Raw genomic sequence first — 25,803 nt, forward strand, 5'->3', positions numbered from 1 at the left:
GTATATAAAAAGTTATATACAGTTTTTTATAAATCTTTGTGCATACTTTATACTGTTTCCTTAGCATAGAGACTGTGGAATAGGATTTCTTGAAAAAAGGTAAAAGTGTGAGTATGCATATATACTGTTACATATATGTTATTATTATAAAGGTAATATTCTTTTTTTTTTTGGAGATAGAGTCTCACTCTGTGGCCCAGGCTGGAGTACAGTGGTGCAATCTCGGCTCACTGCAACCTCTGCCTTGTGGGTTCAAGCGATTCTCCTGCCTCAGCCTCCCAAGTAGCTGAGATTACAGGCGAGTGCCACCATGCCTGGCTGGTTTTTGTATTTTTAGTAGAGACGGGGTTTTGCCTTGTTGGCCAGGCTGGTCTCAAACTCCTGCCCTCAAGTGATCTGCCCACCTCAGCCTCCAAAGTGCTGGGATTACAGGCGTGAGCCACCACGCCCGGCCAATATTTATTCTTTATAGAAATTTAGGAAAATACAGAGACATGGGAAGAGAAAAAAAATCCACACCCATATTTCTATCACTGAAACATTTTGGTATGTTTACTTTCAGTATTTTTCTATGCACTTAAAAAATAAAATTGAGACCATACTGTACATGCTGTAGTGAATCCCTTTTTCACTTAATATAATATCGTGACTATGTTCTTGTCATTTGGTTTTCTTTGTAAAATTCTATTATGTAACATTTCTTAATGCTGAATATTTAGGTTGTGGCATATTATGTTCTTACAAAGAACACTATTCTGAACATCATTTTACAGAAATCTCTGCACAGGTCTGATTTGTTTCTTTGGAATAAGTTCCTGGAAGTAGAATTACTGATTCAAAGAGATTCAACATCATTAAGCCTTCTGATTATATGTTACCTTAAAAACAGAAAAGATCAAAGAGTTTATCAAAATATAAGCTCCCAGCATTGAAAGCTCTAGCAAATAGAATCTCCAGGGTAGAACATCTATAAAGATGGGATAATGGTAGAGCTTTTTGGATAGAATCAGAAAGATATTTGGCTATTTTAAAGTGTTTAGGAGATATTGTACATCTTCCTATTGTTTGTTAATTACTTATTTCAAGCATGATGATAACAGTTGATGATGTTCAAGCAACATTTAGCCAGCATTGCAAAATAGCTGGTGATCATATTCTTGTCCCCTAGTAGGTACACTGACACCCTCTGTGGATTAAAAATGTACACAGGTCAGCGATTACTCAGCTTTTCTCCTTTATTCTATTAATGACATTGAGCATTGTGTAAACCTTGAAGAAGACCAGTAAAATTACATTGTTCTGGAGACCCAAGAAGGTTCACCAGATGCATGCTTTGTCTCTGAACCAACTTGGCTTTCCTGGGGTTCCAGATCTGGCTCATGAATAACTCATGGTTGAGAAATATTCCTTCCCTGGAATTAAGGATGGGCTGGACTCTTTTTTTTTTTTTTTTTTTTTTTGAGATGGAATCTTGCTCTGTCACCTGGGCTTGAGTGCAGTGGCACGATCTCAGCTCACTGCAACCTCCGCCTCCCTGGTTCAAGTGATTTTCCTGCCTCAGTTCCCTCAGTAGCTGGGATTACAGGCACCCACTACATGCCCAGCTAGTTTTTGCATTTTTAGTGGAGACGGGTTTCTCCATGTTGGCCAGGCTGTTCTCGAACTCCTGACCTCAGGTGATCCACCTGCCTCAGCCTCCCAAATTGCTGGGATTACAGACGTGAGCCACTGCGCCTGGCCTGGGCTGGACTCTTAAAAGTAGATCTTAACATAATGGAAGTCTTGGACCCAGTGTCGAAGGGCCACGTACCCAACAACTCTCCAAGGGTCTAGGTGCTTTGCAACACGTAGACAGCCCAGGCCAGTGCTCTAGCAGGGTCCACATACTCCTGATGGTTTACAAAGTTCATTTAGGTGCTATACAGACAGCTTGAAAAATGTAAGACTAGTTTTCCATTTATGTAGTGGTAGATTTTTAAACAAGTATGTTTTAAATAAATGAGTGGAGGAAACTAAGACATGTATGTGGACATAACAGGGATGATGAAGGTGATATCACAAGGCTGACACATACCAGCTTACATGAGTGTGAAATTCCACAGCACAATCCTTTTAGGATCCTCTAAAATGGGTATCTCTTTGGTCATGTGCCCCTCGGGTATGGCAGTTGAAGCATCAGGAACCTTCCTGACTGTTTTCATTGGCAGTTGAGTGTTAGAGATTTGTATGCCAAATTACTTCTTAATAATGCTTATACTACTTCACATTTTAACAAAATGTTAAAATGGGAGGACAGCTGCCTCTGGGGTTCACAGACACTTTCCAAAGGACATGATGGCAGGGAGGGTTTTCAGGAAATCCATTTCCACATCTTAAGCCTTCTTCTCTTGCTTTTTGCAAATTGCATTTCCTGAAGACTAGCTTCACCTGCTTCCTTGTCCTACCTTTCTTTCAAAACTGCCCTTCTCCCCCTTTACAAGAGGAGAACCTGTCGCAATTCAACTCACTATTGCAGTAAGAAACCTTCATTAAGGCTGGACGCGTGGCTCACACCTATAATCCCAGCACTTTGAGAGGCTGAGGTGGGCAGATTGCTTGAGCTCAGGAGTTTGAGACCAGCCTGGGCAACATAGGGAAACTCCATCTCTACAACAAATACAAAAAAAAATTAGCCAGGCGTGGTGGTGTGCACCCGTAGTCCCAGCTACTTGAGGGGCTGGGGTGGGAGGATCGCTTGAGCCCAGGAGGTGGAGGCTGCAGTGAGCTGAGATCGCACCACTGCACTCCAGCCTGGGTAAAAGTGAGACCCTGTCTCAAACAAACAGAAAAAAAAGAAACCTCAATAAAAATTTACCTTTGTGTTTAATAATTATTTGTGATATGTTTGTTGATCAGTTATATACTAATAGCTGCAATAAACCAATCCAGAATTTGTAAATTAACAAAGCCTTAAAGTAGGACATTTTTTAAAATATCATTTTGTATGCATAAATACATCTTTTTATTGTAGAGAATTATGAAAAGCTAATGACTAAAAACTTTCAAACATAAAAATATATTACATCAAGAAAAAATTCTGTGGAGAAGTAGAATGGAAATACAGTTTTACATAGAGAAAGTAAGAATACAAGATTTGACTTAAGAGCTTGTTCTTGAGTTTTTTAATAGGTCATGGTTGCCGTCAAATTCTTATGGTATTTGTAATCCATTTAGTACATTTAAAAGAGTGGTATGTATATTTTATTTTAAAATGTCAATATGTATAATATATCAGGGATTTTAGAACATGTGAAAGGAGACAGAGTTGTTCAGAATTCCACTGGGGACTACACTAGAAGTTCGGAAACCATGGATACGTACACTTTCTTCAGAATCAAAGCGATGGCACTGTAGGTCCTCAGAGGGGAGGGCAGCTTTGAGCTTGGTCCTATCACCTTGATAAGGAATGTCCTCTACAGTAGCCTGACATCGGGTTACCTAGATATTCTTTGGACACTGTGACACAGAGTCCAGAACCTCTCAGCACAGAGGGATTACAGACTTAAGAATCCGGATAACTGGTTTCTAATCTTGGCTTTGCTGCTACCTATGTCATCTCAGGCAACTCACATCACCTATTTGGGCCTGATTTCCATGTGTATAAGTGAGAGAACTAATCCTTATTGTGTTTTTTAAAAGTCGAATAATGACATGAAATCCACCATCCTAATCCTAAGATGTGCCCGTTGGAGTTTAAAAAACAAAAGCAACAACAAAAACCTGTTCTTTCCCTACCTATCAGCCTTTCAGATATCAGAAGGCACCTTTTATGTTCCCCTCAAATCTTTACCAGTTTTAAAATATGTTGTTTTTCAACCTTGACTTACATAGTCTTTTTTTTTTTTTTTTCCCTTGAGACACAATCTCACTCCGTCACCCAGGATGCAGTGGTGCCATCCCAGCTCACTGCAACCTCCGCCTTCCGGGTTCAAGGGATTCTCATGCCTCAGCCTCCCAAGTAGCTGGAATCACAGGCGTGCACCACCACGCCTGGCTAATTTTTGTGTTTTTAGTAGAAATGAGGTTTTGCCATGTTGGCCAGGCTGGTCTCAAACTCTTGACCTCAAGTGATCTGCCCGCCTTACCTCCTAAAGTGCTGGGATTATAGGCGTGAGCCACTGCACCTGGCCCATAGTCATCTTACTGAGGATTATTTCTCCAGGCCAACTATTCTCAAACCTTTTGGTCTCGGTCCCTTTCACACTCTTAAAACTTATTTTAGGACTACCCAAAGAGCTTCTGTTCATGATTATGTCTTTTGTTTTGATTATGTCTTTTGATATTTACTGTTTCAGAAATTAGAACAATTTTCAAAATTTTTACTTATTCATTTAGAGTAACAAAACTGTTACATGTTAATGTAAATAACAGTTTTTAGTAAAAAATATATTTTCCAAAACAGAAAATGTTTAATGAGAGGAGAGGCATTGTTTTACGTTTTTGCATGGCTGTTTAAAGTCTAGTTTAATAGAAGACTAGGCTAGACTCTCATGTGCTTCTCCAGTCAATCTGTTGCAGTATGTGTTGGTTGTTGGTTGAAGTCAATGAAGGATATCTAGCCTATGCAGATTTGTTTCTTTGGTACTTCACTAGTTTTTTTCCTCTTTCTTTCTCTCTTTCTCTTTTTTCCTTCCTTCTTTCTCTTTCTTTCTTTCTTTTTCTTTCCTTCCTCACTCACTCCCTCCCTCCCTCCCTCCCTCCTTTCTTTCTTTCTTTCAGCGTTTTGCTCTGTCACCCAGGCTAGAGTGCAGTGGCATGGTCATAGCTCACTGCAGCCTCCAACTCCTGGACTCAAGTGATCCTCCTGCCTCAGCCTCCCCAAGTCCCTATGACTATAGATATGTGCCACCATGCCTGGCTATTTTTTTTTAATTGTAGAGATGGGGTCTCACTATGTTGCCCAGGCTTGTCTTGAAATCCCGGCCTCCAGCAGTCCTCCCACCTCAGCCTCCCAAAGTGCTGGGATTATAGACATGAAACACTGTGCCCAGCCAACAAGTGGTAGTTTCTTAAATGTTAGTGGCAATGTGATATCTGACATCTTATCAATGACCTTTTTGTACACTAAAATTCATTAGTCTATTTTGCACTTTGAGTGCATCTTTTACCCATGCTTAGTGTAATGTTCTGATCATTTGGAAAATATAGGTTCACCAAGTTATGCAGGTCTTCAAAATGTTGACTCATTTCATTATACAATATCATAAAATCACATTTCTTAATGTCTCTACTGATCTCAAGCATTAGGAAGCTGTCAGGCTCATGGTGGCTGATACAACTTTTTCAAAATTCTAATTTTCACTTGAAAGCTCTATTTTTATCATTGGTGACAAATACTGTTATTTTCCTTGAAGTGACAGGCTCACTTTGTCACTTTGTCCATTTTTGAGAAAATGCCTGCCAAATACCCAAGTTGGAATAACTACAATTTGTTGGTCATTCTTTCAAGTAAGAATGGTGCTCCGTGGCATGAGCGGCTAGTTCAGCTGGCAACTCTGTCACATGACTGCTTTCCTCAAGACAGCTGTTGTACTTCCGTCAGCAGCAGAAATGTTGTAGGCTAACTGTCCATTTCACTGTGCCACATACATAAGTGACATGTGGTTGAGTCAATATTTAATATAAATTACTTTTTACCACTTCATCAAGGGCATTAATTTTTTTTGTTTGCTTGCTTTCGTTTTAATCGTGAGGGTGAGCTGGCGAACAATTGATGATGCCAAGTATGGTTTGCTGCCACTATGTTAATTCTCGCCAAGGTGCCAGCAGTTTCTTCCACTGTTGCTTTCTATACCCTTAGTGCAAGTGTTAACACTGAAAAAGGCAAACGACATCTTAGTATTACTATGAAAATATGTTACCTCTGTGGAGGCTCCCTCACTGAAAGGATCTTGGCAGTTGAGCTTGGAGAATGGCTGCCCTAGGCTAAATAGAATATGCCTGATGAGAGGGTAGCAGGTCCATCAGCTCTCTGTTAGTGTAGATGGTTTCATTGAAAGGCATATACCTCTAGGAATATAGCCCTATTTGCTTCAGTTGTTAGCCTCAATGCTGCAGTTGTGATCAACTAAAATCTCCAAGCTTCTTTTATGGGAGCTACTATCAAGGAAGACGTCTTGCGTGGGGCAAAAAAATTTTTTGTGGAGGACAAAGTGAGTCGTCCTGGTAGTGCACTGTAGAATGGGTAGAGACGGAATGAAAGTGGAGTAAAGGCCGTGGGGCAGGGCTGCAAGGAAGGCCTTCGAGATTTGTTTCCATCCAGGGATGTTTTTGGAAGCTACGTGGTGGGGGTTAGGAAGGGAACCCAAACAAGAAATGGAAGGCAATGGGACAGGCTAAATATTCAAGATTTGTGTTTCCAAAAAAAGAATGCGGGGATAGTTAGAAATGGCAGCTGAGAGAGGTGTGACCATGGGACATTGGGTAGTACTAGTGGAGGGAGGATAGAGAGACGGATGTGCCACCCACAGATGCCTGGAGGTGACAGGGGGCCAGTCTTCTTTCCAGAAGGTAATGATGATACAGTCAAAAAGTCGTGAATATTTGAAGTCATCTGTGCCTGATAACAAGTCTTTTCTCACTGCCCCGGAGAAAAAAGTTCTCTAACATTCCAAAAGCCTCCTCATTCCACTGGGCCCAGAGTTAGCAGTAGAAATTAGTGCAATTAATTAGAATTTGGAACTCCTGACTCGCAGGATGGGTGTGTGTTTGAGAGATGTTTATGAAAGATGGTGTTTATCCAAAGGATTTCCTTTTCTTTTAAGTTTCAAGGCTGGAGGCTTAAGCATCTTTGATCCAAAGGAAGGAGGTCTAGCAGTTGTTATAAGCCCCAAATCTTTGCTTAAGTCCTCTATAGGATTAGAGGCACCAGGGCAAGGCAGAACAGAGTGAGGTGGATGTTCTGTAACCCCAGTCCAGGGGAGATTTAAGGAAGATGAGAGTCTTAAAGATGGACAGTCTCTGAGTAGAGACTGGAGAATATTCTTCCTTCCCTGCATCTAGTTAGTAGCCCTGCTGCCCCTTTGCTACAATTCTTTCTGTTCTTATTAGCCACATTTCACGTGGAAAAGCCAGTAAAATGCAAATAATAATAATGATGATAATAAAATAGCAGGAGGCAAGTATTTCAAAGACGGAATTTCTTGCCTTCACACATTGTTAGGGGGCAAAGAACAGGTGGGTTTTTTATTTGAATTAGCTGCTGCTTGTTCATTCATCCCTTGGCAGAGCAGGATGCTGGTAGAGATCTGCCCATTGTTATAAGCCAGCCCATCGTAGGAAGGAAGGAACACACAAGGCAATTCATTGTTGTTCTCCAGGAGAAGTAAGAAATCCAGACGTTGGGAAGCTGAGGGGCAGGCCCCTGGAGTAAGTGAAAGGAGGAGGTAGAAGAAGAGGAAGGCCTCTGGTTGGGGGCGGGGTAGTGACAAGGGCATGGTTTTCATTCCCCCGGTCCTAACCCACGCCCTGGGGAAACAGAGCCACAGGGAGGGAAGTGATGAATGAAGTTGCAGCCATTTCTCCTAAGAACTCGGCCTAGGATTTGTGGGCACAAGCCCAGGAGTGCTGCGTATTTGCTCCTGTCCCAAGCCACAGCTGTTGACCCCTTGGTTCCTCACTCTAAATGCTGCTGGGGGACCCCAGCTTTACCTAGTAAGAACCATCATTAGGAAGGTAGAGTTTACAGGGCATGTTCACACATACCTGTGTTTGATTCTCTCCAAAGCCCTGCAAGATCAGCATTAGCACTGACCCAAATTATAGAGGAGTAGAGGAGGAGAATAGGCCACCGCTTCGATGAGCCTGTCAGGCACTGTGCTGGCTCTCAAGGCACAGCACTGTGACCTTGCCAACCATACCGTAAAGTGGAAATGATTTTCTCATTTTACTCGGGAGGCAGCTGAGGCTCAGAGGCGATAAAATGACGTGACCAGGGTCATAGCGATAATAAAAGATGGAGGCGAGGAAAAAGCCAGATCCTTCGGACTCTGTGGTCTGCCTGTGGGAAGAGCAATTTTCCTGAGCGGGTTTGGGCTGATTGTTCTTACTTCTCTGCAACAAGAGAGGGTAGAAGCTTACTGTGTGGTTTTGTCCACAGTGCCTTAGGGAGCTAGCCTGGTTATGTATCTCAGGCTCGCTCCCCTCCCTCTCCACCCCCGGCCTTCCTCTTTCCTCTTTCCACCTTTGCAAAAAAGAGCAAGATGTCCAGGCTCCTGAGGTCTCAGCTTGCAGAGCTGGTCATTAGCCCTTTGTGTCCTGCTAACCACCTTTCATCTCCTCTACCTGCTGGTGTCCGCTTTCCCTATTAGCATCTCTCGGCTCTTTGCAGAGCCCTCGGCCTCTTTGTGGCCAGCTTGGGTTGTTTGTCAGATGATGGCTGAGAGATGCACACTCAGGGGAGGGTGGCTCTGACCAGGAGCGCTCACATTTTCCATGCCAGGTGCCAGGCATCTCTCTCCTCTCCCACCCCAGGGGCAGCCAGGTTTAGGTCACCTGGCATGGAGGCAGACAGTTGATAGCCCGGTCCCTAAATTTGGGGCCTTTGAAGCCCTGGTGTTGCCTTTCAGTTCCCCTCCAAGGGTGAAATGGGAACTGGCTCACCGGCAACTTTTATGCCTAAGCAAGAAGCCTGCTGAGGAATTCCTGGTCTCCAGAAGCTCACCCTCAGGCCCAGGATTCTCTGGTCCAACAGCCTCCACTGTTGGTCGGTCAAACAAACGCCCTGGGATTCCCAGGAACATCCTGCTGCCTTCATCGTCCGCATACTAAATCATCAATCCAACGAGGCAGCCACTCGCCACACAGGGCCATTTAAGGTTACATTAAATTGATATTTATAGTATATAATATAAATTTCTATTAATAAAAATTAAATAAAAAATAACACTTTAGCCACCATTCTTATTTTTTATTGTCAGTAGAATTTTTTTTTTTTTTTTTTTTTTGAGAAAGGGTCTTGTTTCGTCACCCAGGCTGGAGTGCAATGGCACAATCTCTGCTCATTGCAGCCTTAACCTTCCAGGCTCAGGCAATCCTCCCACCTCAGCCCCACAAAGTGCTAGGATTACAGGCATGAGCCACCCGTGCCTGGCCAATTTTAGCCACCTTTCAAGTGCTCCATAGTCACACATGGCAAGTGGCTACTGTACTGGACAGCGCAGATAGAGAACATTTCCATATGCAGAACATTCTTTTGGACAGCACTGATCTATACAGCCAGAAATTCCAGTATCTTACAGACCATCTCTTCCTGCTACGAAGCCTTGAAGCTCCCTTGACCTTTCAAGTGAATTCATTTGAGTTCCCAAAATGCCACGGCCTGTTGGGACTGGAGGCCACCAGGCAAAGGATGCCTCCGAAGAGGTGTCCCCTGTAAAATTCACCATCACCATGGCCAGGCATGGTGGCTCATGCCTGTAATCCCAGCACTTTGGGAGGCTGAAGTGGGAGGATCACTTGATCCTGGAAGGTTGAGGCTACAGTGAGCTGAGATTGTGCCATTGCACTCTAGTCTGGGTGACAAAACAAGACCCTATCTCAAGAAAAAAAAAAAAAAAAAACTAATAAAAAATAAGAAAGGTGGCTAAAATTTTTATTTTATTTTTATTAACAGAAATTTATATGTGATATAATATAAACATCAATTTAATGTAACTTTAAATGGCCCTGTGTGGTGAGTGGCTGCTTTGTTGGATAGATGATTTAGTATGAGGATGATGAAGGCAGCAAGATGTTTCAGGGAAGCCCAGGGCGTTTGTTTGGCCGACCAACAGCAGAGGCTGTTGGAGCAGAGAATCCTGGGCCTGAGGGTGAGCTTCTGAGATGAACAATGGTGCTTACTTTTCTACACAGTGGAGAATGCAAGACCTGGGAGATTCATGGTGTGTGTAAATGTCAAGGCTTCATTCCATTTGCAAAGGATGGAACTTGGTGATATGGCTTGGCCGTGTCCCCACCCAGATCTTATCTTGAATTGTAGTTCCCATAATCCCCTTGTCTCATGGGAGGGACCTGGTAGGAGGTAATTGAATCATGGGGGCGGTTACTCTCATGCCATTCTCATCATGATAGTAAGTGAGATCTCATAAGATCAGATGGTTTTATAAGGGGCTTTTCTCCCTTTGCTCGGCACTTCTCTCTCCTGCCACCTTGTGAAGAAGGATGTGTTTGCTTCCGCTTCCACCATGATTGTAAGTTTCCTGAGGCCTTCCTAGCCATGTGGAACCGTGAGGCAATTAAACCTCTTTCCTTTAGGCCAGGTGCAGTGGCTCATGCCTGTAATCCCAGCACTTTGGGAGGCCAGGGCGGGCGGATCATGAGGTCAGGAGATTGAGACCATACTGGCTAACATGGTGAACCATCGTCTCTACTAAAAATACAAAAAATTAGCCGGGCGTGGTGGCGGGCGCCTGTCGTCGAAGCTACTCAGGAGGCTGAGGCAGGAGAATGGCGTGAACCCAGGAGGCGGAGCTTGCAGTGAGCAGAGATCGTGCCACTGCACTCCAGCCTGGGTGACAGAGCGAGACTCCGTCTCAAAAAAAAAAAAAACCTCTTTCCTTTATAAATTACCCAGTCTTGGGGATTTCTTCATAGTAGCATGAGAATGGACTAACACACTTGGTGTCCATTGGATTCATTTCAGCCATCAGCTTTGGCAGCCCAATGTGGCTGCTGGATGTGGAGTCCAGGGCTGGCAGAGGGAGGAAGGTGTAGGGCTGGGAGAATCACAGCTGGGGGTGGATTCTTCTAGACCTGCCCTACCCTGGGCTGAGGGTGAGAAATGCCTCTGAGAGCTGCAGAGAGAAGGGAAAATGATTTGTGTTTGTTTTTGCCTTTCTGTAGTACAGAGAGAAGGAGCACTTTGGGGAAAGAGGTTTAACCAGAAGCAGTTTCTTTTGGGAACAGGGGCAGTTCTTTACTCCCTGCCAGTTCCTGCAGGCAGGCAGCATGCCGGCCTGGCCTGCCGCCTCAACCCCTACCTGTCATGTGCTTGGCAAGTCTGACTCAAGTCCTTTTTTCCACTGCCTACCCCACCCGTCAAATTGCAGTTGCAACCTCTCATTTTTCTGCTGCCTAGATGATTAAAAAGCATGACTTAGTGGAAAAATGTTGACCTCCTTGGGGTCAGCCTCTGAAGCAGCTGTCAGAGATAAGATTGTGCTGGCAAATTACTCAGCAGCACTTTGCAAGGCTTTCTGTCTGTCTGTAAGGAAACCAGAAGCTGTTGGTTCTGGGTACTTTTTGTGTTTGGAGAGAGCTACAATTTTGAGGCCCAAATGGGTATAATCTGATAATAAAATAAGATCTCTGATGGAAGGGTTCGATTATTGTAGTAATTTTTAAAAATACAATTAATAGGCTTTGTAAACAAACAAACAAAAAAATTTAAACAGTGCTTGCTTCGAGCAATTCAGGGAGCAAAGTCCTCTGGCAGCTAAGCAGTATCAGAAGTTCAATTCTCAGACCTCTTGCAAGGTCTTAAAAGACTTAATTGTGGAGCTCTCGGTATGAATGGCGCTGTTTGGAATTATTTTAATTACTGTGTTCATATGACTCCCTCTTGCTTGGAGATTGGATGCTTACTGTAGTTCTTTTGAAACTGCTCCAAAGAGGACATTATAGTTTCAATTTTGCTTATGTCCTCAAAGTATTTTATCATCTTTATATTTGCCAAGAACTTGTACCCATCTAGTGAGACAAGAAGGTCACCTCATGTCTCAAAAGGAGAAACTGAGGTGTTTGGGGTTGAGAGGACTTGACCGGAGTTATACAATGGTGGTCAAGGACATAGTGAGCACCTGGGTTGTGTGGCTTAACCCATGCTATCAAGTGAACGCTTCATTTGAAGTCCTACAGGTCTGAGTTTGGATCCCAGTTCAGCTGCTTCCCAGGTGCGTGGCTTTGAGCAAGTCACATACCGTCTCTGTGCTTCAGGTTTCTTATCCACAAAATAGGGTTACAGTAGTCCCCGTTATCTCTGGGGGATACGTTCCAGGACACACAGTGGTTGCCTGAAACCACAGATAATACCAAACCCACATATGCTATGTTTTATCCTATACATCCATACCTGTGATAAAGGTTAATTTATAAATTAGACTCAATGTGAGATTAACAATGATAGCTAACAATAAAATAGAACAATTATAACACTATACTGCAACAAAAGCTATGTGAATGTGGTCTCTCTCTGTCTCTGTCTCTGTCTCACAATATCTTATTGTACCGTACCTACCTATCTTGGGATTGCAGTTGACCGTGGGTAACTGAAACCAAGAAAAGCAAAACTGTGGATAAGTTGGGGGGTGGTAACTAGAATTATTGTGAGGTTTGAGATTCTGCTCAGGAAAAATTTCATCCATCATCATCATCATTAGATTTTTTTCCTTATTTTAATGAAAGACCTGTTTCCAGCTTGAAGTGAAATCCAATGCTTCCCACCCCTCTCCTCCTCTTCGTCCTCTTCCTCCTCTCTTCCTCCTCCTCCTCCCCCTCCCCCCCTCCTCCTTTTGCTGGGCCTGCCCTGCTTGTCATGCCTTTTGCTTTTCCTTGGCTTAGGCTGTCATAGTTAGAATTGGGTTTTCACTCTCCCAGCCCTGACAATGTGGCCCTGGCACAGGTAGGCACAATCCTGGCAGTGAGGTCAGAGGGTGGAGGCAGGGCCAGGCTCTTCACAGGGCAGGTCCCCCTCTCCTCTTGACAGCTTATGGCGCTGTCTTGGATCCTGAAGGTTTAAAACAAGCATTGGGACTGGGAAGCTCACCTCCTGGGCTGGGGCCCTCACAGCTGCCTGGGCAGTGAAGGCCCAGAGTCTTACTCTCCCTCCCTGCTCAGTTTTCCATCTGTGAAATGGGGTGGAGACCCAGCAGCAGCCTAATCCATTTTCCAGAAGGCTCAGGCACTGAAAACAGCAGATGTAGGTTTGAATCCTGGCTCTGCCATGTGACCCACAGAGTCCCGGGTCTTACTATTCCTAGAGTGGCAGTGAGCCCTGAACGAGCTGACATCTGAAAGAGCTTCGTGACCTGTAGTGGGCTTCCCTCCATCGGGGTCCCTCTCACCCACTCTCAGAGCTCATGCTTGGAGGGCGCCTTGTGTCCTCACAGCCCATGGGGGGCTCTGGCCCCACCCAAGAAATGAGGACGCACCCAAAAAGCCCACGTGGCGCTCCTCGCTCGGCACATGCACGTCTGGGCACAGCGCCGTCTGAGGGCAGAACTTCTGGGCCAACCTGGTCAGGAAGACAGAGCCCAGAGTCGGGGTCCGTGTCCCCCTCTGCCTCCGTGACCCACACTGGCCCATCCCCTCCCTGGACTTGTTTTCCTCCTGGCTGCCATTATGATACCTTTTATGAGCCTCGTTAAGTCTTTAATGATGCCTGGTTGTGCAGCTGGCTTAAGGCTTAATCCCCAGCAATAGGTCTTATTGGATAAATGGTTAATAATCACTCGTTTGCAGGTATTGGGAAGGCTTCACTGAGGCCTGTGATTCCTGGAAGCCCCACGTGGCCTGTGATGTGGTGAGAGTGTGACTTGGCTGGGGCAGCACTGCATGGGGTTGGGTTGCAATAAGACCGGGTATCCTCAGAGCACCACAGAAGTTGGGAAGGCCTGAGTTTGTAAAAGGGCCTTTCTTCTATGTCCTGGTAATGGGTGACTCCTGTCTGCTGCCGTGGGCCTGTCCCCATCTGGATCAAGGTGCAGGCAGGACCAGGCAGCCCCCCAGATCTCTTCAAATGTGTCTCCACCCACTCAAAGTTTTGCTTTCCTTTCTTGTGCCATGAACAAGCTGTGTGACCTTAGGCAGGTCTCCTGACCCCTCTGGGGCCTTGAGTTGCTCATCTACCAAATGGAGAGGTGGGAAGAGATGGCCATGAAGGTGCCAAGTGCCTGATTCTGGGAGCCCAGCATCCCAGACAGAGGCTTCTCTCTCTAGCTCTGGGGTGTGTCACTGAGGGCTGTGAATGGCAGGGACCAGCAGCCCAGCGGATTAAGTACTTAAACTGCTGGGCCAAGAATTGGGTCAGCTGTAGTCACAGGGCAGTGTATGCAAAGGGAATCCGCAGAGCCAGATTTGGCCCTGATTTTATAGCTGGGTTTGGAGTTTCTGCCAGCTCTGGGCAGGACACAAAGTAGGCATTAAAAAACAAAGCCTGGCTGACGGGACTCTGGAAAAAGAAGTAGACTCCTTCAGGTGTAGAGCTGGCAAGAAGCCAGGAACTGTTCACAGGTGAAAAAGGATCCTTGGATTTTGTTCCCAGCCTGCCTGTGACTGGGGACCATGCCGTTCATCAGGATTTGGCTTTGACTTTACAGTTGCAATGGGATGAGGACCCATCTGCTTGAGGGACAAGCTGGTGTTGGGGCAGGGGAATCGAACATATCCAGTTTTTGTTTTTTTTTATTTTCAAGATGGAGTCTCGCTCTGTCGCCCAGACTGGAGTCCAGTGGCGTGATCTCGGCTCACCACAAGCTCCGCCTCCCGGGTTCACACCATTTTCTGCCTCAGTCTCCGGAGTAGCTGGGAATACAGGCGCCCACCACCATGCCCGCCTAATTTTTTTTGTATTTTTAGTAGTTTACCATATGAGAGGTTTCACCATGTTAGCCAGGATGGTCTCGATCTCCTGACCTCGTGATCCACCTGCCTCAGCATCCGAAAGCACTGGGATTACAGGTGTGAGCCACCAGGCCCAGCCCAGACCCAGTTTTCAATCTCATCCCATCCCTCACTCATTTCTAGGCTGTCTGGTCTTGGACCACCTACTCTCCCAAGCCTGAGATTCTTTAAGCTAGCATTAGCAACACCTGTTTTTCAGCATGACTGTGTGGGTTGGAAGTGATATATGTATAGCACCTGGTAACCTGCTCACTTAGTGCCAATAATTATTCCGGGAGGTACTTAATGCTGTGGCACCTGTTGTATTCTTTGTACTGCTGGAGTAAAATACTTCCTGCAGAGAGAGACCAGACTTACTGTGGATAACATGATTTGGGATGATTTTATCTGCAAATAAAATACAGAATCCAAACAGAATCACATCAACCTTTAAACTCAGCGGCACTGCCCCCAAACTTTCAGCTTCAGGATTGGAATGGAAGTCTGACTGAGGGACAGTTTCCTATGTTGCCCCAGAATATTCTCCCGTGGCTCCCACCTTATATACTCCACAGCCTCCCGAGTGCAAAGCACAGTCCCTGGCCTATGGCATGCACCCAGTATGCCACATGGATGTGCAAAGAAGGAATGGAATTTCTCTTTTCAAATATCTACGTGACCAGGCACCTGCTCTGCTTTTCTTTCAGATCTTCCCAGACCCGTCAGATTTTGACCGCTGCTGCAAACTGAAGGACCGTCTGCCCTCCATAGTGGTGGAACCCACAGAAGGGGAGGTGGAGAGCGGGGAGCTCCGGTGGCCCCCTGAGGAGTTCCTGGTCCAGGAGGATGAGCAAGATAACTGCGAAGAGACAGCGAAAGAAAATAAAGAGCAGTAGAGTCCCTGTGGACTCCCATGGGTCATACCAGCCAGCATCTGTTCCTGAACTGTGTTTTTCCCATCATGACGGAAGAAGAGAGTGAGCCGCAATTGTTCTGAAAATGTCAAACGAGGCTTCTGTTTTGCACCTGCAGATCACCGAGTTGGTTTTCTTTTCTTTTCTTGCCTTTTTTTTTTTTTGAAATTTGCCGAGCAGTGGAGCCCTCTGACAATTTGCAAGGCCCTCTGAGAAAGGAAGCTGCTTAGAGCCAGGGGGTTAGTGGGTGAGGGGAGCGAGTGCTGTTTTTGAGATCATTATCTGAACTCAGGCAGCCTAGTAGAGGCAGTGGTGGGATTCCAATGGGTCTTGGTGGGTGGGAGGTGGGGCATGTGCAAAGCAAGCAAGGAACATTTGGGGTAAGAAAACAAACATGAGGCAAAAGAAAAAATACATGTTTTTAAGAAAACATTGAGCAGAGAACTGCAGCCAGGATGCGCTCAGCAGACATTCACTCTGGCTGCTGGGACATCAGAAAACAAAGTCTTCATCTCTCTCTCCAGTTTCACCCACCCCACCCTTTGCTTTCATTTCAGGTGTGTTGGTCTATATGACAGGGAGGAGAGTAAAGGAGAGCAGGAGCAATTGGCTGCCTGCAAAGCCAGCTGGAGGTGAAGTGCAGGAAAGGAAAGGTCACCCCATTCTACTCCATGGCCTCTCTGCTCCCAGCTGTGGTAGGCTCACATAGCCAGTGTGATCGGTTTTTAAGAGGCAGTGCTTTTCAGCTTTTCTCCCTGATATATCCATTTTGCTTCCCAGCACTTTTTAGGAGTAGTGAGAGCACTTCCTGCCCTTGTTGGAAGCCCCAGGGTGGACACTCAGCACGAAGGTCTCTCCCTTAACTGCTGCCCTTCCAAGACTTGCTCCCGAGATGGAGTGGGCGTGGTCTTCCAGGCTGGCCCTTCCTTCTCCTCACCGCCACCTTCCCTGCCCCAGCCCCAGCAGCCATGGGTACATGGGTCCCCAGCTCACCTATGGATTCCCGCCAGTCTGCCCAGCTGCAGTACTCACGCCCCATGGGGGATCTTGGTCTGTTTTTCTTGTGGGAGCCTAGTGGAGAGCAGACGTGGCTTTTTATGTGTCTTGTTGGGGAGGTGACTTGCATGGTGGGGACAAGGCTGTCGTGGCAACCTTGGGATCGAGTTTGAGACTAAAGGATGTCATGAGATCCCTGGCTTCTCCCCATGTTGTTCCCGGACAAGGGCAGAAGGGAGGCATGGCAAGGGACCTCTGCTGTCCTTACTCAACAGTGGTCCTCATCCCTCCCCACCTCCCACTGCTTCCTGCAAGGGCACCAGTTGTATGAGAAAGTTGGCCTTTGGACTTAGGATTTCTTATTGTAGCTAAGAGCCATCTGAAGCAGCAGGTTGCAGGACAAATGCTTCAGTCCGCCGAGAGCAGTACCGTGTGGCCAAGAGGTGGACTCAGAGCCTTCCTTGAGCTAAACTCGGCCAACCAAGGCACGCAGCATGTCCCCTCAGGTCTCCAGTCAGTCCAGGTTGACCCTCAGTTCTGGACGTGTGTATATAGCTGTATTTAATACCTCAAGGTCATTGTGGCTCTGGGGATGCCGGGGCAGGAGGACGAGGGTGCGCTGTGGACACAGCAGTCCGCGGAATTCCGTTCTGGGAAGCCAATGGTCGCCGGCACCCCTTGCTTCCTCCCTCTGTTGTCTGCCTGTGTGACACACATCAATGGCAATAACTTCTTCCAACTCCTCGCAGAAGTGGGAGAGGCCGGCAGCCTGCACCGAGAGGGGCTTTCCTCTCTCTTGCTCCCCGCTTCGTTCTGTTTTGGCTGCAGAGAGTGGTTCATCCATACTCTCATTCCCTCGCCTCCCCTTGTGGACGGGGGTCTTGCCTTTTCAATTCCTGTGTTTTGGTGTCTTCCCTTATCTGCTACCCTGAATCACCTGTCCTGGTCTTGCTGTGTGATGGGAACATGCTTGTAAACTGCGTAACAAATCTACTTTGTGTATGTGTCTGTTTATGGGGGTGGTTTATTATTTTTGCTGGTCCCTAGACCACTTTGTATGACCGTTTGCAGTCTGAGCAGGCCAGGGGCTGACAGCTAATGTCAGGACCCTCAGCGGTGGAGCCTGCTGGGGGGACCCAGCTGCTCTTGGACAAGTGGCTGAGCTCCTATCTGGCCTCCTCTTTTTTTTTTTTTCAAGTAATTTGTGTGTATTTCTAACTGATTGTATTGAAAAAATTCCTAGTATTTCAGTAAAAATGCCTGTTGTGAGATGAACCTCCTGTAACTTCTATCTGTTCTTTTTTGAGGCTCAGGGAGAAACTAGCATTTTTTTTTTTCCAAACTACTTTTTGTCACTGTGACAGTTGTAAATAAAGTTTGAAAATGCTTTCCACTCTGGTCTGGTTTCCTTTTTCCCTTCCTGTTCCGTTGGAATGGAGTGAGCTCAGGAGCAAGAAGAAGTCCTGCAGGAGGCTGAGCTGGGGGAGTCCCAAGAGAGGCTCCTTATGTAGCTCACCTGATGGCTTGTCTGGGGAGAATTCACTGGGGAGATTTAACCCACAGCCAAGGTGTGAACTACCCTTCTAAAGGAAGAAAAACCCAAGACATATCTGAAGGTCATTCACAGGGGCTGGAGGGTGAGTGGGTGGGCATGTGGCAAGCTCAGGCTATCATGCAAAGCATTTACTGAGCACCTACTGCTTGGCAGGCATTAGTAAGAGGTCAAGGTCACAAATGGCAATGGCCCTGGTTCTCATGGCCCTGCCTTGGTGAAAAATTAAATGACGAATATGGTGAGTGCAAGGCAGGATCAAACTGGGATGCCCTGAGTGTGAACATCAGTTGGGAGGGTCAGGAAGGTCTTTGGAAGCAGTGACAAGGAGAAGTTAGCCAGGTACTAGGTGGCAGGGAGCAGAGGGGAGTTGGGGGCATTGGAAAATGATTCCAACAGGGAGAACAGCTTGGCAAGGGCTTGGCGGGTGGAGTGGTAGAAGAGGAAAGCATGCAAGAGGGCTACTCAGTCCTGGCTAGGAGTTTGGATTTTATTCTAAGGGAAGGACCTAGCATGGTCTGTTTCACATTTTAATACAACCTGGCTCAATGGAGATGGGATTGGAGGGGGCAAGATGAAAAACCTAGAGACCAGGAAGGAGGCTTTGTGGAGGTCAGAGTGAGAGAATGGTGGTTTGTAGAAGGGATTTGGGGGCATTTTTCTAACCCAAGGCTATTTTTGCCTTCACCCAGCCCTCCTCCGGGTTCCTTAACCTTGGTAAGTGTAGAGAATCCAGTGGTTTGTGCTGAAGGTGTCTACCAGGATTTACAGAATAATGACCCATTTTAACACTAGCCTTAGTGAAACAACTAGATCTATGGATCTGCTGCCCCAAGGATAACTGGCCGGACTTTACCCTCCTCATATGGATTGCCCCTTTATTTTTCTCCAGCAGCCTGAAGAGGAATTTATTAGAATGCAGCCTCCTTGAACACACCCCTGCAGAAAACTGTCTTTATTTGCAGATGACATCATCTGTGTAGGAAATCCTATGAAATCTACACAAAAAAGCTACTAGAACTAATAAATGAGTTTAACATGGTTGCAGGATCAAAGCTCAATATTCAAAATGACTGCATTTCTATATGTTGGTAACACCGACAAAAAAAACAAACACTGCATGTTCTCACTCATAAGTGGGAGTTGAACAAAGAACACATGGACACAGGGAGGGGAACATCACACACTGGGGCCTGTCGGGGGGTGGGGGGTAAGGGGAAGGAGAGCATTAGGACAAATACCTAATGCATGCAGGGCTTAAAACCTAGATGACGGGTTGACAGGTGCAGCAAACCACCATGGCACATGTATACCTATGTAACAGACCTGCACATTCTGCACATGTATCCCAGAACTCAAAAAAAAAAAAAAAATAACAGAACCTTGACATTTAAAATGCAATTTACATTAACATAAAAAAATATAAACTATTTAGGAGTAACTCTGATGCAAAATATGCAAAACCTCCAAAACAATGAAAACTGCAAAACACTGCTGAGAGAAATCGAAGAATCCCTACATCAATGAAAGCTCTACCATGTTCATGGATCTGAAGACTCAATGTTAAAATGTCAATTCTCTCCAAATTGATCTATAGACTCAACACAATCAAAACCTCAGCAAGCTGTTTTGTAGACATTGATGATCTAATTCTGAAACTCCTATGGAAATGGAAAGAACCCAGACTAGCCAAAACAACTTTGAAAAAGGAAACTAAAGTTGGAGGACTCTCAGTTCTCAGTTTCAAAAACTTAATACAAAGCTACAGTCATCAAAACAGTGTGGTGTTGGCATCAAGATTGACAAATAGATCAGTGGAACAGAATAGAGTCCAGAAATAGACCCACAGATGTGTGGTTAATAGATTTTTGACAAAGGTGCCAAGGCAGCTCAGTGGAGGAAGGAAGTCTTTTCAACAAGTGGTACTGGAACAATTGGATATCCATAGGAAAATAGCCCCTGGTGATGAAAGATGAGTCTTCACTTCTGTCTCCCACTGCCTCCATGTGACTTTTAAACAAAATAATTATTTGTTTGGAAAAAAGTTTCGTTATTCTTTTTCATGGTTAGCCAGTTGCTTCAATACCCTCCTGCTTCACCCCAAGTTGCCTCCTCTTCCCTGAAGGAGAAGGATTGGGTGACACCTGGCTGACTTTGCTGTGTTATTCGAGCTGACTTGCATTCGAGTCCTGTGCAGCCCCTCCATAGGTGCTGTGGGGCCATTTTGTTAATGTCTAGGATCCTCAGTGTTCTTGTCTGTAAAATGGATATAAGACTAATAACTCCCGCATAGGGGTGTGCAGATTGAGCACCCAGTAGGTGTTCCACAAGTCAGGATATTTTCTGTCTCTCTTTTGAGGGCCTAGTTGCTAAGGAACTAACTCTGCCTTCTCTCTGCTGCTTTTTGCTTTGGGTCCTTTGTGGACACCAGATACAAAGGTAGCTTCAAAGTGAAGACAAGATTCAACTCCTTCTGTCTGCCTCCTTTTCTTCATCACCTTGAGAGGGGAAAGGCAAGGAGAAGGGAACTGTAATGCCTCTGCCCACCAAAGATTGGAGAGGGAAGAGAGGGAGGTCTCTCATCAGAGAGGGTCTATACCTCTGCCTGACTCCTCTTTAAAGAGAGGATCCTTGGGCAGAAAACTCTTTGAAATGACAGTTGAGCTTTGACTAGACTGGGAAGAGATTCTAGGTGAGGAGACAGCAAGTGCAAAGGCCCTGGGGTAGAGATTGTCTCCATCTTTTTGAGGAATGTCTATGAAGCTAGTATGTCTGGAGTAGAGAAAAAGAGAAAGCTGAGAGCAAACACCACAGAGCAGTGCCTCATGGGTCCTCATGAAGGTGAGTTTCAGAATCACTGGTGCCCATTGTGAGAAGCCTTCAGGGAAGGACACAGGCTCACCAGGCATCCCAGCCCCTGAAATCCATTGGTCAGCCCATTTAAAGTTGCCCAACTGGTGGCCTACGGCAATCGATGTTGAGGGACCTGAGGCACTGTCACATCCGGAAAGGACTTCTGGATCATCAGAGGAGGATTAGATTAGGTAGAATTCAGTCTGTACATCTGTCCTTAAATTACTGAAGGGTGATTGTCGCTAAGAGCATTGGCTCCGAGATCAGACCCCTGGATCTGTAGCTGAGCCCTTCCTCTTACTAGTTGTGTGACCTTGAGCAAGTTACTTTTCTTTTCTATGCCTCACTTTCCTCATTTGTACAACGAGTACCTAACTCATAGGGTTGTGGCGACACCTAAATGCATATTACAAGTAACATGCTTGGAACTTTGCTAGACACATAATAAGTGCTCAAGAAATGTTAACCATTGTGAGGCCGGCCACGATGGCTCAAGTCTCTAATCCCAGCACTTTGAGAGGCTGAGCCGGGCGGATCACCTGAGGTCAGGAGTTCCAGACCAGCCTGACCAACATGGAGAAACCCCATCTCTACTAAAAATACAAAATTAGCCAGGTGTGGTGGTGCATGCCTGTAATCCCAGCTACTCGGGAGGCTGAGGCAGGAGAATCACTTGAACCCGGGAGGCGGAGGTTGTGGTGAGCCAAGATCGTGTCATTGCACTCCAGCCTGGGCAACAAGAATGAAACTCCATCTCAAAAAAAAAAGAAAAAAGAAAAGAAAAAGAAATGTTGGCTGGGCACAGTGGCTCACGCCTGTAATCTCAGCACTTTGGGAGGCCGAGGTGGGCGGATCACGAGGTCAGAAGATCGAGACCATCCTGGCTAACGCGGTGAAACCCCATCTCTACTAAAAATACAAAAAATTAGCCGGGCGGGGTGGCAGGTGCCTGTAGTCCCAGCTACTCGGGAGGCTGAGGCAGGAGAATGGCGAGAACCCGGGAGGCAGAGCTTGCAATGAGCCGAGATCATGCCACTGCACTCCAGCCTGGGCGACAGAGTGAGACTCCATCTCAAAAAAAAAAAAAAAAGAAAGAAATGTTAGCCATTGTGGGAGACAGAATAATGTCTTCCACCCCCACAGATGTCCATGTCCTCATCTGAGGAACTGTGAATATGTAATGTTACATGGCAAAGGGGAATGAAGTTTGCCAATCAGCTGACCTTGGCTTGGGGAGATCCTGGATTATATTTGAGCCCAATCTAATCACAAAGGTCCCCATAATGAAAGAAGGGGGCAGGAGAGTGAGTCAGAGAGATGTGAAGATGAAATGCTGCTGGCTTTGAAGACAGAGAAAGAGGCTGCCAGTCAAGGAATGCGGGCACCTCTAGAAACGGCAAAAGGCAAGGCCATGATTCTCCCTAGAGCCTCCAGAGGAATGGAGCCCTGCCAACACTTTGATTTTATCCTAGTAACAGCTATTTTGGACTTCTGACCTCCAGAACTGTAAGATAATAAATTTGTTGTAAACCACTAGGTTTGTGGTAATTTGCTAACAGCTACAATAGGAAGCAAATGCAGCCTTTATCATCACAACTGTGATAATGATGATGATAGACTTTTCCCGCATGGCCTCAGAGAACAGGGATGAGGGAGTGAATGGAAGGGGTTGCAGTCAGGCTAAAGCCACCATCCAGCAGTTGGAGCCCACAGCTTCCTAAGGATCAGTCTTCTCTTGGCGCCACTAGCTAGAGGTATCTCTCAGACGGAGGGAGCCATGACTGACCTAGGACTAGATAAATTTGAGGCTATAGATCCCTTCTTCTAGAATTTCAAAAATTAGTGATTTGTGTGTGATATGATCATCAGTATAGTCTTGAATCAGAATATTCATTAGACTACTCCCTTCTCTCTGTTTACCTGGATAAAAGGTCCTACTTTGACATGCAATTCATTTGCAATATTTCCTTTGCCGTTTTCAGTCAGAAAACTGTGAATTCACACTTTTCTATTATTGGCGGCTGCCAATTGCAGAGCACTGGTTTACCTCCATTTCTTCTAATTCTCATCACACTTCTTGCAAAGTGTGGGTTTTCGTATATATAATGAAAAGTATATTTAGCACAAAGTACATTTAGCAATGATGGAAATTATAAAAGATGGTGAAATTTAGGGACTTCATCTTTCAAATCCCATCATGGTAACATATCAGTTATTTGCATTTTGGTTTCCTTCCAGTCATTGTTCCCCCATACTTACCAGAATGGGCTCAATGAATATAAATTTTTCCTACAAAATGGACATTTTTAATGTTACTTTACAGATGAGGAAGCTGAGGTCAGAGGACTTCAAAATATACTGACTTTGGAAAACAGTAGAATTAGAACAAATGGTGTGCTGGTAAATGTGTAACAACCAGCCCTCTGAGATTTAAAAAAAAAAAAAAAAAAAAAAAGGCCCTGATTCATAGTGTTTGCCAATTTCCATGGTGTAAATGCTCCCACCATGGCTGATTTTGTGGGACTGGATGAGATGGGAGCCAGTGCAAGCCTGCAGCAGCACACCTCTGGAATCCCTGATCCTCCACTTCTATGCTAGAAGGAAATGGGCTCAGCCTGCCTGAGCCTCAGTCTCCTTTTCAAGAAGATGGATATCACTCAAAACCAGGACAGTGCCTAATTCACAGGGACTCAATAAACTCTAGTGCCCGTCCTCCATTTGGAAAAGAGAAATCATTCTGGAAAGTTATCTGGCACAGTATTTTTCAAGCTAAATCATGACTCATTATGGGGTTGTGAAAGTAATCCATTTGTGGGCTGCAACCAGAATTTTTTAAAAAAGAAAGAAAACAAATAGAAAAGACGACAATAGAAGAGGAAAAATCAGAGTACAGCAGATATAGGAAGAATAAATGTTATTCCCTGAATTTTTTTTGTTTCATCCCTACATGTGGATAAATGTGTGTACTTGGTCATGAAAAAAAATATTTTTCTTTCTGTGGGTCACAGTCAAAACAGTTTGAGAGCCACTGATCTGGGGAATCTGGCTTTCTAGAAAGCAGTACTTTTACTTAGTGGAGTCATGGCAGTGGGAGAGAGGCAACTAGAAAAAGTAGCTTAATACATCTCTCTGCAGAGGAAATGGGGCTGGCACACCCAAGGGTGGAGACTGTGTGGTCAGTGTGTAGGGGACAAGCCTGGGAAGGCCACTATGTCCTTGGTCTCCTCCAAGGCCAGGATTAGGCTCTGGGTAGCCTTCAAATCGCTGCCGAGCCCTGGAGGAGGGAGGAACTGTGCATGGGGAAGGAGGCGGAAGCTACACAGGAAACCCTCACTGCATGTTTGTCACTGCTGGCACCCACTGCAGCAGCTAGCAGACAACCAACAATAGTGACATCAGGTAAAAAATAACCCACAGGGTCCCAGCCCTACCGTGCAGGGGCAAGGGCATGCCGTCTAGAGGGCTGCAGTGTCACCAGGCTACAGCTGGGGTCATGCTGCCTGGCGCCATGCTGTGCCTTGATTTCCTGATTGCTAATTAGAGGGCACTTTTCCTGCCCAAGGTCACTTGGGCTGGCGCCAGCAATGGGGCCACTTGCCTGCAGAGTTTTTCCTCCCCCGATCTCTTGCACAAGGTGGTATTTAAAAAATCACTCATGCCAAGACCTTCAGGTCTGAATGCACCACCTCTCCCAGGGGGACTCTCATCTTAAAAGAAGGCCCCAGCAGTTCTTACCCAAAGGATTGTCCCAGGCAGGGCCTGTGCAGAAAGCCCCAGCAGCCTTACAAGCCTCTCCTTTGGCTACGGTAGGCTATGACCCCAGGCCCTGTGCTGACCCAAAAGCACTTCCCGCTGTTCTCCAAACCTTTCTCTCCAGACCAAAGACACAGGCTCCCCATGGTTCCCCAGCACTGCCAGCTGGTACATGCTCCCACACACCAGTGAAGGGTGTGGAAGGCAGAGCTACATCAGATGTTACCGTATTAGGCCATTCTTGCATTGCTGTAAAGAAATACCTGAGACTGGATAATTTATAAAGCAACGAAATTTTAATTGGCTCACGGTTCTGCAGGCTGTACAGGCATGGTGCTGATATCTGCTTGGCTTCTGTGGAGGCCTCAGGGAGCTTTCACTCTTGGCAGAAGGCAAAGCAGAAGCTTGCACGTCACGTGGTGAAAGAGAAGCGAGAGAAAGCAAGGGGATGGGAGAGGTGCCACACACTTAACCTGATCTTGCAGGAACTCACTCACTATGGCGAGGACAGCACCAAGCCATTAGGGATCCGCCCCTGTGACCTCCCACTAGGCCCCGCCTCCAACACTGGGGATTACATTTCAACATGGGATTTGGGCGGGGACAAATATCCAACTCTATCATTTACTTGACTACAACAAAGCGTGTTGAGGATTAGCAGCCAGCTCTGACACATAGGAACTAGGGTCCCCTGTTTGCTTCTGACCTCACAGTTTGCTGGTTAATCATCTAGTTTCAGCCTGGTTCTCAACCTCCCTTGCCTATCCTAAGAGCACCCACGTCCCTCAAGAATGAACAATATTCACAAGGACTTTCCACTCGACAGTTTACAAAGCTCAGTTCTTATCTTCCATCCACCTACACAGCATTTCTTAACCTCGGGTTCCTAGAATTTAGGGGTGCATGTGACATTGGATGGGACAAAAATTACATCTATATTTTAGTTAATTACTAAGTGAAATTCAGCATTTCCTGTTTGTAGGAATGCAGGCAACAAACCGCAGTGGTGTCAGCAGCACCTGCAATTTGTCACGAATAAAAAATCACAAGTATTTTCATTTTCACAGTACACTTGTTGCAGGTATCATGAAATATCAT

At 45.8% G+C, this 25,803-nt stretch overlaps 1 protein-coding gene across 1 annotated transcript in view, besides 2 other annotated features; it reads left to right on the forward strand.

Moving 5' to 3' along the window:
* Positions 1–17,940, forward strand: part of LBH (LBH regulator of Wnt signaling pathway) — a 28,495-nt gene extending 10,555 nt beyond the window's left edge. The window contains exon 3 of the mRNA NM_030915.4: positions 15,345–17,940. Within this exon, the coding sequence (NP_112177.2) occupies positions 15,345–15,533 (189 nt within the window). The 3' untranslated portion in view covers positions 15,534–17,940. The remainder of the gene's footprint in view (positions 1–15,344) is intronic.
* Positions 23,902–24,516: an enhancer, noted in NCBI's record as "H3K27ac-H3K4me1 hESC enhancer chr2:30488856-30489470 (GRCh37/hg19 assembly coordinates)". NCBI's record gives its function as "activates a minimal SCP1, AML or CMV promoter by ChIP-STARR-seq in primed H9 embryonic stem cells {active_cell/tissue: H9 hESC(primed)}" and the evidence as "EXISTENCE:reporter gene assay evidence [ECO:0000049][PMID:30033119]".
* Positions 24,517–25,131: an enhancer, noted in NCBI's record as "H3K27ac-H3K4me1 hESC enhancer chr2:30489471-30490085 (GRCh37/hg19 assembly coordinates)". NCBI's record gives its function as "activates a minimal SCP1, AML or CMV promoter by ChIP-STARR-seq in primed H9 embryonic stem cells {active_cell/tissue: H9 hESC(primed)}" and the evidence as "EXISTENCE:reporter gene assay evidence [ECO:0000049][PMID:30033119]".

Source organism: Homo sapiens, chromosome 2 (genome assembly GCF_000001405.40).
Source record: "Homo sapiens chromosome 2, GRCh38.p14 Primary Assembly".
NCBI classification, from domain to species: domain Eukaryota; kingdom Metazoa; phylum Chordata; class Mammalia; order Primates; family Hominidae; genus Homo; species Homo sapiens.